Below are 12,864 nucleotides of genomic sequence, written 5' to 3' on the forward strand. Positions count from 1 at the left end.
AGACATAGGCATCCTTGGGGGGCCATTACTTAGCCTACCACAATCTCCCCCTATTGCCACTTATGGCTTCATGACATGTGGTAAATCTGTCCTTTTCCTTTCTGTTCTACTGCTATCATCCAAATTGATGTCCTCATCATTTTATAACCTTGATGCCTATATTTTCTTCCCTTAACTCTCCTGCCCACTGCCCATAGATGTTACTTTCTAAAATATTACTTTTTTTTCTGACATCTCTGCTCAGAAACTATCATTGGCTCCCTCTTGTTTTCACTGGGACTGGCAAATTTTTTTTGTAAAAGGCCAGTTGGTAAATATTTTAGGCTTTTCGGGCCAAGAGGCAAAATCAAGGCTATTATATAGGTACTTTTATAGCCATTTTAATGTGTCTATTAAAAATATAAAAACTGGCTAGGCACAGTGGCTCACACCTCAGCACATGGGGAGGCCAAGGCAGGCGGATCACTTGAGGTCAGGAGTTCGAGACCAGCCTGGCCAACATGGTGAAACCCTGTCTACTGAAAATACAAAAATTGGCTGGGCGTGGTGGTGGGCGCCTGCAGTCCTAGCTACTTGTGGGGCTGAGGCATGAGAATCACTTGAACTTGGGAGGCAGAAGATGTAGTGAGCTGAGATCACGCCACTGCACTCCAGCCTGGGTGACAGAGTGGGACTCTGTCTCAAAACAAACAAATGAACAAACAAACAAAACTATTCTCACTGTTGGGGTGTACAAAAACAGGCAGTGGGCTGGATTTGGCCTCCAGGTGATAGTTTGCTGATCTCTGTTTTACACGCTCAAGTCTGAACAGCTCAGCCTCAATGTGAGGCCCTGACCCAGGTTTCCAAGTTAGTTTCCTGCTGCAACTGCCCTGTACAAATCCTCTGCCCTTGCTGTGGGCTCTCTTTACCGTTGCTTAAACTCTGTTCCTTACTAGAAAATTTCATCTCTTCTCCACCTACTCAAATTCTACCTATTCTTCAGGACTCAGAGCAAGTCCTGCCTCCTTCATGAATCTTGATTATAGAAGCCACCATGATCTCTCCCACTCTGATTTCATTCTATGTTATGTGTGAACATCATCTACTATATTTGTTACTGAGGAAAAGAGATTGAGAACTACCGATCAGTATCACTTAATTAGCACCTAATTACCTCATGCCTTATGTTGTTAACTAGACTGTATTCTCCTGTCATCTTCTTCTTTGTGTCCCACAGAGCTATATGCATATTACCTCTTTACCAAGAGCTCCTTATATCGAGATGGCTTTTTACTGCATTGTTCCCCAAACCCCAATAGTTAGAATATCACCTCATAAATACTGTTGTATTTGCCCCCCAAATTAATATTCTTATGAGAGGCAGTATGGTATAGTGGCTTGGACCATAGACCCTGGATGTAGAATGTCAGGGCTTGAGTCCCCACTCTGCCCCTTCCTAGCTATGTGACCTTAGAAGAGTCACCTTAACCTTTCTGTGTCTCTGTTTCCTCCTCTGTCAATGGAGATAGTAATTTTATCTACCTCACAAGGTGGTTGAGAGGAGAAATTAATTGATATACCTTAAAGGCCTAATGTGCCTAACACACATTAAGCATAGCAGAGTCTTAGCTATTTCCTTTGTTATTGTTTTCCACAACCCTTGGTGAACTGGATATATCGCCTAGTTTGTATCACGCACTGGCATGTAGATAGTATGATGTAAGTATAGGTGTCCTTATATCATTTCATTGACTCACTTTTAAAATACCTAATTTATTTAAAACAGAAACTTTTAAAGCAATGGTATCTACAGATTCAAAGTTCTTGATGTCATGGTTTTATATTTTTTCTAATTCACATAAAAATAAAATACATAACTATTAAAAAAAATGTTCCTCTGTGTACTGTTACATATGTCCCACATGTGGGATATACTGGCTTAATTGATGTAATATGGAAAAAGAAGAAAATACACTTATCTTTTTGATATTCACCGGGGAATAATCCAAAGTGAAGGCTTTTGGAATGAACATAGTGCTGTGCGAATTATGGGTCTGAGGAGGCCTGAGAACAGGTTATTTCCAGCAGGTACCAGAAATCCCAGGATGGGCCTGTTTTATAAGCTTAGTTGGTTCTTGCCTCTTAAGATCATTTTCAACCATTGTGTGGTACTCTCCTAATGCGTTAAAGGAATAGCCTTCCAGGACGTTATGCTAAATGAAATAAGCCAGACACAGAAAGAAAAATACTGCATTATCTCATATGTGGAATTTGGAAAAGTTAAATACACAGAAGCGAAGAATAGAACAGTGGTTACAAGGGGCAGGAGGTGGAGTAAGTGGGGAGATATTGGTCAAAGAGTACAAAGTTGCAGTTAGATAGGATGAATAAGTCTAGAGGTCTTTTTTTATAATTATTATTTTTTAGATAAGAGTCTTGCTCTGTTGCCCAAGCTGGGGTGCAGTGGCGTAAGCTCGGCTCACTGCAACCTCCACCTCCTAGGCTCAAGCGATTCTTGTGCCTCACCTGTATTCCCCGAGTAGCTGGGACTACAGGTGCGTGCTGTCTATGCCAGCTCATTTTTTTATTTTTAGTAGATAAAAAGTTTTGCCATGTTGCCCAGGTTGGTCTCGAAGTCCTGGCTTCAAACCATCCACCCACCTTGGCCTCCTAAAGTACTGGTATTACAGGTGTGAGCCACAGTGCCTGGTAATCTAGAGATTTAATGAACTGCATGAGGACTGTAGTTAATAATATCATATTACATAAGGGAAATTTGTTACTAAATTTTATGTGCTCTTACTACACACACACACACACACACACAGACACACGCACACGCATGTGCACATATAACTATATGAGAAGAAAGATATATTAATGAACTTGAATGTAGTAATCATTTCACTATTACAGTAAATCCTCACTTAACGTCATCGATAGGTTCTTGAAACCTGTGGCTTAAAGTGAAACGATGTATAACAAAACCAATTTTTCCCCTCATCAACATTATGACAATACAATGTTGAAGGAAATGATGTTATTCTGGGCACTGCTTTATGTCATTCACTTAAAGTCGCAATTTTCAAGAACCTATCGACGATGTTGAGGACTCATTGTATGTGTGTATCAAAACATAAAGTTATACACCTTAAATATATACAATTTATATTAAAAAACAGAACTGCTCTTGTGAGAAAAGAACAGAACATAAAGCAGCCATTTAAAAATAGTCATGTGCTACATATATACTGTTCGGTCAACAATGGACCTCATGCATAGTGGTGATCTTATCAGATTATAATACTGTATTTTCACTGTACCTTTTCTATGGTTAGATATGTTTAGAGACACAAATACTTACTAATGTGTTACAATTGCCTACAGTATTCAGTATAGTAATGTGTTGTACAGATTTGTAGCCTAGGAGTAGGCTGTACCATCTAGGTTTGTGTGAGTACACTCTATGAGATTTACACAACAAAATCACCTAACAATGCATTTCCTAGAATGTATCCCCATTGTTAAGCAATGCACGACTCTATACAACATTTTAATAAAATGCATATTTAAAAAAAAAAAAAGAATAGTCCTTCTGCTCTAAGTTTTCTGGGCCTTCCTGAGAAGAAAACATTAAGTAGCCCTTAGACTGAGAACACTGATGACTCACAACCTAATTGAATTAGTGGTATAGGGCAGGTTTATAGACTTTATTGCATTCTTACTTTGTTTCCTCTTACCATAAGCCAATAGAGCAAGCAGGGCTTTGGTGTACCTCTTCAAATCATGATAATTTATATAACATCACAGAAAACAATATAGAGTGAAGGAGTTAGCGGGTATTGGCAATAGAAAGCCTCAGTATGAACTGATTTGAAGATGCTAGTGAAGGGGGTGCTTAGCTGTGTGTCACTGAACACATGCACACAGAAGAGATCCCTAGGTATGTCTCTTAGAAAGATACCAGGTAATGTGCGGTAAGCATCACTTTCGATTGTAATCAATTTATCTGAGATTTCTTATCCTAATTGGGCTTCTGAATTTAAATCTCTAAATACTTTTTTCACCCTTCTTTTCATTTTCTTGAATGTTTTGTTCTCCTGGAAACCGTCATTTGAGAGTGATTTTAGTCATCAGAAGCACCAAACATGATAGCTGTTAACAGTATATGTCACTCAGTTGTCAAGAGGTTTATGACCTTGATTACTTTGTTTCTGGATCTTCCTTATAAATAGTAGAAGCTCCTGCTTGGGCCCTCAAGTCTTGCTGGGTTAATATTTAGTTGGCTTTTTCTGTTGCCTTTTTAGAAAGGTCTGGCTTCACGGTGAGGCCGGTGGCTGGATACCTGAGCCCACGAGACTTTCTGGCAGGACTGGCCTACAGAGTGTTCCACTGTACCCAGTACATCCGGCATGGCTCAGATCCCCTCTACACCCCAGAACCGTGAGTACCTACATTAAAGCCCAGGCCACCACACCATAAAGTGGTCAATGATCCCTTTACTTGAAAATGACTTAGGCCCTGTTTTACCTCCAAACTAATTTCCTTGAGCTAGTGAGAGTCACATCACTCACCTAAAGAGAAAAGGGCTCACTGAAGGATCAGACTCCTCATCTGGGTCCGTGGGGGCCCCTGATATTCCAGCTCTGGCTCGATGCTCTAGCTTTATCCCAACACTGAGCCATCTGCTTGGCCAGATCTCCATTTCTGATGATGAAGAGAAGGCACAGAAGTGTAAAGTAGACACTGACACATGGTCAGAACATGTGAGGCTCTCTCATTAGGAGGCCTCTTTCATGTGAAGGAGGTTCATGTACACACACCATAGCAACTCATTACTAATCCCCTCTCATCTCTTTCGTCACCTCCAAACTCAGAACTCTGTGCTTTGCTCTCCCTGCCATTTTAGTTTCTTGAACACTTCTCTAGTCCTGCCCGCCACCTCCAGATATAGATGAGGTTTGTGATTCTTCTCTGATTCTGTCAGTTTTCCTTTGGGGCTTTTATCCATTCTCTCCTGGACAATGGGTAAGCTAGGAGTGGGGAGAGAAGCTAAGAGGTGATGCTATACTGCTCTGACATGGGTAAGAAGCAGGAGTAAGCTGGGAACACCCACATGTTAATCATTTGGCCTAATCACACGTGGGATTGTACAGTCTCCAAGTGTGAAATGCCCTGTATCATATTTCTTTGAGTGCTTTAAAATATGTAACAAGCATTTACTGGGAGACAACTACATGCTTGGATTGTCTGGGAATGAGACAGCATTCCTGCCCTTCCAGGTGAATGGTGAAGACAATGGTTAGCATACAGACAGACAGACAGACAGACAGGGAATATGGTGTCAGGTGTAAGTGCTTCCATGAAGTGCTAATAAGTGCTGTGAAGACAAATAGAGCATGGCAAGGAGATGGAGAGTCCTGGGTGCTGTTTTTTGGATTGGGTCAGGACAGCTTCTTGGTAAACATCTGAGCAAAGACTTGAATGTGTATATGATGGGGTGGAGAATTTCAGGCTGAAAGAACAGCAAAAACAAAGACCCTGAGGCTGGGAGCTCTGGGTTCTTTTGCCTTCCTGGGCTCCATTAAAATGAGTGCCTTGCTTTAATCTTACCCCACTGTTCTTCAGGCCACTCAGGGTATCGCTTTGCTTATGATGCTGCTTTACTTGAATGCACTTGTGGTTAATGGGTTGCCATGGTCTTCGCTGGGGAGCAGAGAAGCTTTTGAGGTTCAAGCAGTTAAGTAGCTGATGGTAGTAGGAGTGAGCAAGGGTAAGTCAAGTCCCTGAAGCACCCCTCATTTTCCTAGGCTGGCATAAGGCTCACAGTCCAGGTAGGTCCCTGTCAGGTCACTACATTTTTTTTTTTAAGCTTTTTTCAGCTTCCCTGAAAGTGTTTTCAGGGTAAACAGAGGTTACTTATAGGACCCCAGACATTTGGAAAAGAAATGCTTCTTTCAGTGGAGTGAGTGCTCAAAGAAGCACTGTCAGAGTTAGAAAGGCAATCTCTAAATCTAGCCCAGAGGGTTTACCAATGGCCTTGTTTACAAATAGAAGGCACTTTGTTAGTTCCCTTTGAATAACTGGCCCTCCTGAGACCTGTGACAGCGTGCCAATAGGTATGCAGAGAGAGAGAGAGAGGCAAAGAAATGAGATTTTAGCCACAGAGGATAATGTGTTACATTTTTACCAAAGTACTTTCGGCCAATTCACTCAGCAAACATTTATGTGCAATGCTAGCAGGGCAGTGCAGTGGATTCAGAGATAAATAAAATATAGTAGCTTTAAAAAAAATTTTTTTTAAAGCAGTTCACATTCTGGCAGCAGAGATAGAAAAACAAATAATTAGGAAATAGTGTGGTTAGGGTTATAATTAGTGTGTGTAAAAAGTGCTGGAGAGCACAGAGGAAGGCACAGTCCTGAAAGGCTTTTCAGAGAACGTATAACCTGTGTGGGAGTCTGGAAGGATGAGCAGAAATTTCATTTTTGTACAAGGCTGGACGGGGAGGGAAGGGGAGGCTTTGCAAGTCAGGGGAAACAGCAAGTGCAAAGTTGTGGAGACACGCAAGAGGCATACATGTGCAAGGCTTGTTAGACCAGAATAGCCAGGATACAGTTTATGTATTAGGGGTGAAATGTATCTTCAGGCCATGTTATAAATGACCATTTGTCAAACTAGGACATTTGGACTTAGTTCTGTAGGCAACAGGGAGCTATCCAAGGTTCTTAGGCATAGTCAGGTAAGTGTATTGGAGAAAAATGACTGGGGGTGAGGGCTGGGGAATTGTTGAGAATGAACAACACAGAAAACCAGCTAGGGAGCTCACATTCTATGAAGGAATATAGTTCAAAAGGTGTGGAGCTAGATGAGGTCAGAGGTATAGTACAAGAGGGCACCTATTTAATGCCCTCTTAACACCATAGAGATGGAAGTAACAATATCCAGTGACTACAATAGGGGTGAGACGAGGGGAGGGCCCCTAAGGTAGGGCTAAGGTTTTTGTTTGGGAAGCTGAGTGGAAAGTCATTTCTAATAATGACTGAGAATATTGGAGGAGGATCAAGCTTGGAGGGAAGAGAAAAGGAAAGAGGGAGGGAAGAGGAGGATTTGGGTTTGGGGTATTTTGTCTGTGAGGTGCCCATGGCTGGAACCTCCAGATGGAGAAGTTTCTGGTAGTTACAAATAAAGATTATAAACTCAGAAGTGAATGTAAAGCACCCACAATAGATTTGAGTAGTTATTTTTCTTCCAAGTCTCCTATGACTACACAGATAAGAGGAGACTAAGTCAGAGGATGGAAACTTGGGATTCACTCACTTGGGGTTGTTTTTACAAGCCCTTTATTTTTTGTGGGTTTCATATCATTCGTATTTTTTTTTTTTTTTTTAGACAGAGTCTCACTCTGTCAGGTGTAGTGGTGCAATCTCAGCTCACGGCAACCTCTGCCTCCTGGATTCAAGCAATTCTCCTGCCTCAGCCTCCTCAGTAGCTGGGGTTACAGGCGTGCAACACCATACCCAGCTAATTTTTTGTGTTTTTAGTAGAGACGGGGTTTTGCTATATTGGCCAGGCTGGTCTTGAACTCCTGACCTCAGGTGATCCATCTGCCTCGACCTCCTAAAGTGCTGGGATTACAGGCCATTCATTTGGTTTTTAAAATTATTACTTTATGAATAGGTAATACATATGCATAATTCAGAATTTAAAGTTCACTAAAAGGTATATACTGTGAACAGTGAGTTTCTTTCCATCCTCTGCCCCCTTGATACCCAGTGCATCCTCTCCAGAGGCAACCACTGCTACTAGTTTCCATTTCATCCTTCCAGAAATATACTATGCAGACAAAATTCTCTGTAAAGATCTTTTTAATCCTTGTATATTGCAAAGTCCTAAGTCCCTTCTCAGCCACATAATTTGAATCTATGGGTACTATACTGGGAGGGCTGTTTCCTGCCCAAGCACTTTCACAGGCGTTGTCTTTGTAATGAAATCCCATTTCCTCAATTGAAAACCAACTAGAGGGCAGATTCTCCAATTTATGAAGTTCAACTTCTCTACTGTGTTTGCTGCTTGTACTGTGTTTCCAAATAACTGCTTTCAGTTGCTGAACTGTTGTAGTGGAGGCTGCGCTAATGAGACAAAGGTGAGCACTGAAGACCCAGGTAGAAATGAGCATGAAGCAACAAAAAATACATTATCTGAAAAAAGAATTTTATTTTCCCTTTCAGTCTGGTAGAATGTATTTTGCCATCAGAGCTTTCAACACACATTGGATTTTAAACATATCTTTGACTTCTTTTTACATTTTACAGTTTTAAAGACTCTGGCTTCTCTAAACCTGATACACTAGAAACCAAACCTTGCCTTCACACAATATATTCCTGTAACAAATCTGCACATGGACTCCCTGAATCTATAAAAATAAAAAAAAAAAAGTGATGGCAGATTAGACTGGTTTCCTGGGGGAAAGTTTTCTGGCCTGGAAGACAATAAAGAACCCCTGGCAAATTAGTGACTTCTGGTTTTCCTGGTGGGAGGAGTTGCTTTTCTATGCATTAATGCCTGGATTGAAAGGTCACTGATCTGCTAGAAGAGGAAATGGACTCTTGCTTTTTCTCCCTTTGAGCAGTGCCTGAGGCAATGAATCTGCATTTCGGTATTGCCTGGCTCCATGCTTTGATCAGCTGTGGTTGCAATGTTCTTACTAATTGGGTAATGAAGTTTGCAAATGATTTCCTTTAAAAAAAATCAATTGGGCCAAATTCAAAGTTATTCCAATAAACCTTCCCTCTCACTCACTGGAATGAGAGGGAAAGATGCAGAGTTCCAAGTTATGTAGGCATGTGAGCGTCGCCTGGCATGTGTACAGTGGCAGAACAAAATCTTGAGAAGTTCTAAATCTCCCTGATCTCCTTTTTGTCTCTCTGGGAAGTCCATTGTGTGCTCTCTCATGCTATGCCCTCCGTCCACCTCATCTTTTAGAACAGGGTTACTTGCAGATCCTAGGCAGAGAGGGTGCAGTGTATCAGGAAAGCAGTCCTCCTTCAACCCTGGGTCCTGTGGATCAGGAATGGAGAGTCAGGCAGAGAGAGAAAGAGAGAGAGAGAGAGACAGACAGACAGACACACACAGAGAGAGAGAGACAGAGAGAGAGAGAGAAAGAGAGAGATAGCACAAACCCTGGCAACTAGCAGTGTGTGGGCCCCTTAAGGTTCATGGTGAGATGTCTCAGTGGTCTGTTTAAAAGGCAAAGTGAGAGCCCAGTCTGCAAGGTAGGAACGATAACTCACAGTTCTTATCACTGGCGGCTAGCTTGGGCCATATGGGTGTGGTGTTCTATTTCTAATGCCAAAGCAGCACCCTTTGCTGTGTTGTTCCCATTCCACACATCTCTTCTTTTCTGCCGGCATCACTTTTCAAATCAAAGAGCAAACTTTCAGCATTGAGGAATAATTCAGGGCACAAGTGACTAATATTGCAACTTATATTGCCATAATACAATGAAATACATTTGTATTAAGGAACATCTTTTTTGTTGCAGTTGACCAGTTTAGTGGCAATTAATGTTATTTTTAAATATAACTGTTTAAAGGCTTTGCAGTCAGGTGATTTTTCTTATAATTGCCGCTGTTTAATTTTATAAGAAAAATAAAAGTGAATTATTTCTGACACATTTTTCATCCGTTTCTAAGTAAAGTAAATGAATTTTTTGCTTATTAGGAAAGCTTGGTTGCTCCTCTCTTGATTGAACAGATGTCTCTCACTAGGTCCATAATGAGAGGAAAAATATGAATTTTTTCTTTCCCAACTTTTCCTCCTTGTTCCCACTCGAGAGGTTCTGGGACTTGGGCCCTGGCTGTTGTTGGTGTTTTTAATATCAGGCCTTGCTGAAGTCTTCTCAGCATGGTCTTCCTGCAGAGCTGGGAGGATAAACCAGAGCTTTACGGAGTTTAACCTGCATGCCCACGAGCTGTGTTTAGCTTAAACTTGTTCTTTCCCATGGGACATGTGAGCTTGGTGCCAAGCCTCCTGCTCATCCACCTGGCTTCCTCCATAGCACTATTACCATTCTTGCTGCTCAGGATTGCAGTGCAGCATTATTACTGGTGATTCTTGGAAAATGGCATGTTCCCAGAAAGCCGGTCATCTGGCCTACCTTTCCTGCTTTGTAACTGGTGCACATACCCTCAGTTTGGTAGCCATGCTCTCCCTTAGGAGAAGTCCGGTTTGGGCTATACCGAGGGCCAGTTAAGATGTTAGAGGCCCCAAGACCTGAAAATACTTTAATTCCTTCCATCCTTCAGCATAGATAATCTTGACAGCAACCACAACAGCAGTAGCAACAATACGTTTATTATGAATAGCAAACATGTCTACTATATATCAACTGGACACAGGTTTACTGTTAATAGCACCAGACACTATTTTAAGTGTAATGTATGGATGGACTCACCTAATACTACAACACTTTGAGTTGTTATATTATTATTCTGAGTTAATAGATGAGGAAATAAGACACAGAAAGGTTAAGTACATTGCCCAAGGTAACACAGCTGGTAAGTACGTGAGTCAGGGTTTGAACTTCAGGAGTAATGCCAGCACCTGTGGCCTTAGCCACTACTTTGTTAATCAGTAACACTAAACAAAAATACTCAAAACTTATTTGTATGCTGAAGCTGAATAGCATTTTTGTTGTTGTTGTTGTTGTTGTTTTCCAATGGCATATTTTGTAGAAGGGATTTGAAAAGGCTACTTTCTTTTTTTATTTTTTGAGACGGAGTCCCACTCTGTTGCCCGGGCTGGAGGGCAGTGGTGCGATGTCAGCTCACTGTAACCTCCGCCTCCTGGGTTCAAGCGATTCTCCTGCCTCAGCCTCCTGAGTAGCTGGGATTACAGGGGCCCGCCACTATGTCTGGCTAATTTTTGTATTTTTAGTATAGACAAGGTTTTATCATGTTGGTCAGGCTGGTCTCGAACTCCTGACCTCGTGATCCAGCCACCTCGGCCTCCCAAAGTGCTGGGATTACAGGTGTGAGCCACTGTACCTGGCCTTGAAAGGGATACTTCCTTACTTTTATTTGGTGACCCTGATTTGCTAGAACCCTAAAGACTGTTTATGGCTATTATATAGTTTAGTGCTGTGCTGCCCCATCCAGTTCTCGGCCCAACTTCCAGGCTCCTTAGAGGCCTGCCCTCCCCTTTGATCTTCACAAGGTCACAGTTGGTCTGCCCCATTTATCAAGAGGAGGAGGCATCTGCTATCTCACTGGGAGAAAGAAGGGGACAGCACCTCTCTACAGTATTGAGCATAGCTTATATGCTAGGCTTTTCTAAGCACTGCAGACCCAAATATGAACATGGCCTAACCTCTGTCCTGGAGAAACTTACTCCTTCTTAAGTGACAAAGTACCTTCTCAAAGGGCAGTAATGCAGGTAGGAGACTGCTGTGTCCTCAGGCAGAAGGACCTAAGGACTGATTGCCCAGAAATGTAGGCCCCTCTCTCAGCTCCCAGTATGACTGTCGGCAAGCCATTTAACCTCCCTGTGTGAGAGATGATGAAATAACACTTTGATCTTTGGAGAGAAAAAAGCTTTAGAAAAATACCAAATAAGTCCACCCTTACTCGGCACCTCTTAAATTCATGTGGAGGGATAATGTGCCTCATAAAATTCCAGTGCGTCCTTAGTTACAAGGCCACGTTCCTAGACCTGGACTCCCAAGTTTTCAATCATAATATTGTGTCTAGTTTTGTGAAGTGCCTAAAGCAAAAATAACCCCTGAGATTTCTTATAGAGCCTTTTGTCTAAAGAGCTTAAGCATTCTAACAATATACATTCCATTTTTAAAAAATCATATACATTATTTAAAATGTGCAGTTAGAAACCAAAATTGTGTCTAACTGTCTGCTGGAGCCCTGTTTTTGTTCTTTTAGACTGTTTTCTGTAGTGACTTGGGATAAAGCTTCAATACTTCAGCCACCCTTCTTTTTTTTTTTTTTTTTTAGCAGATTCAAAGCAGGATTCCTTATGTCACTCTCCCCTACCCCTGCACCCAGTTCTGTTTTCCTTGTGCGGAGCCCATAATCCAAAATTAGCACTTAGAAGCACCTGGCCCAAATCAAAATTTATATTCCTTCAGCACTCTGTAGTCAGGGAGAGGTTCATTATGTATTTTCAGGTGTGGAAGACTGAGATGACCAGGGAGAAATTTTTCCAGGAGTATTTGCATTTTTAAATTGCAAGTTCAGAAGAAGAAATCCAAAATGATTGAATTTTATGCAAGAAAGAGGTAATCACTGTTCATACCTCTTTACTACCGTGTAGAGAATTGTGTCTGTGGGTGGGCACAGAAGCCACCACAAGAGAGAAGGAAAGAGGGAGCAGACATTTCCCACACACGTTCTGTTTGTCTGGCATCATCCCACTCATCTCTATTAGGTGGACAGGATTGTCACCATTTTACAGATGGCAATTCCAAGGTTCAAAGAAGTCAGGTAATTTCCCTAAGGTTACACAACTAGAAAATAGCAAAACCAAGTTCTGGTCCAAAGCCTTTATGTGACACTGGAAATTAGGAAAACCATACTTGAGTTTCACTTGGATTCACTTCTATTTGGAACAACAGAGCCCCATCATCACCTGCTCTATTCAGTTGAGTTAAAAAAGCAGTTATTGAGCATATCTTATGTGCCAGGCTTTTTTAAGCACTGCAGACCGAAATACGAACATGGCCTAATCTCTGTCCTGAAGAAACTTACTCCTTTTTAAGTGATAAAGTACCTTCTCAAAGGGCAAAACTTATTCAAGTATGATAGGCTTAGGTATAAATACAATTTAATATAATAAGTAATAATACCTAACTTACGGGAACTAAGATTTTC

At 41.5% G+C, this 12,864-nt stretch overlaps 1 protein-coding gene across 1 annotated transcript in view; it reads left to right on the forward strand.

The window, feature by feature from the left end:
- TPH2 (tryptophan hydroxylase 2) overlaps positions 1-12,864 on the forward strand; it is a 93,596-nt gene that overhangs the window by 35,818 nt on the left and 44,914 nt on the right. The window contains exon 7 of the mRNA NM_173353.4: positions 4,290-4,425. Coding sequence (NP_775489.2) covers positions 4,290-4,425 — 136 coding nt within the window. The remainder of the gene's footprint in view (positions 1-4,289; positions 4,426-12,864) is intronic.

The sequence above is a fragment of the Homo sapiens genome, chromosome 12 (assembly GCF_000001405.40).
Source record: "Homo sapiens chromosome 12, GRCh38.p14 Primary Assembly".
In the NCBI taxonomy this organism is placed as follows: Eukaryota; Metazoa; Chordata; class Mammalia; order Primates; family Hominidae; genus Homo; species Homo sapiens.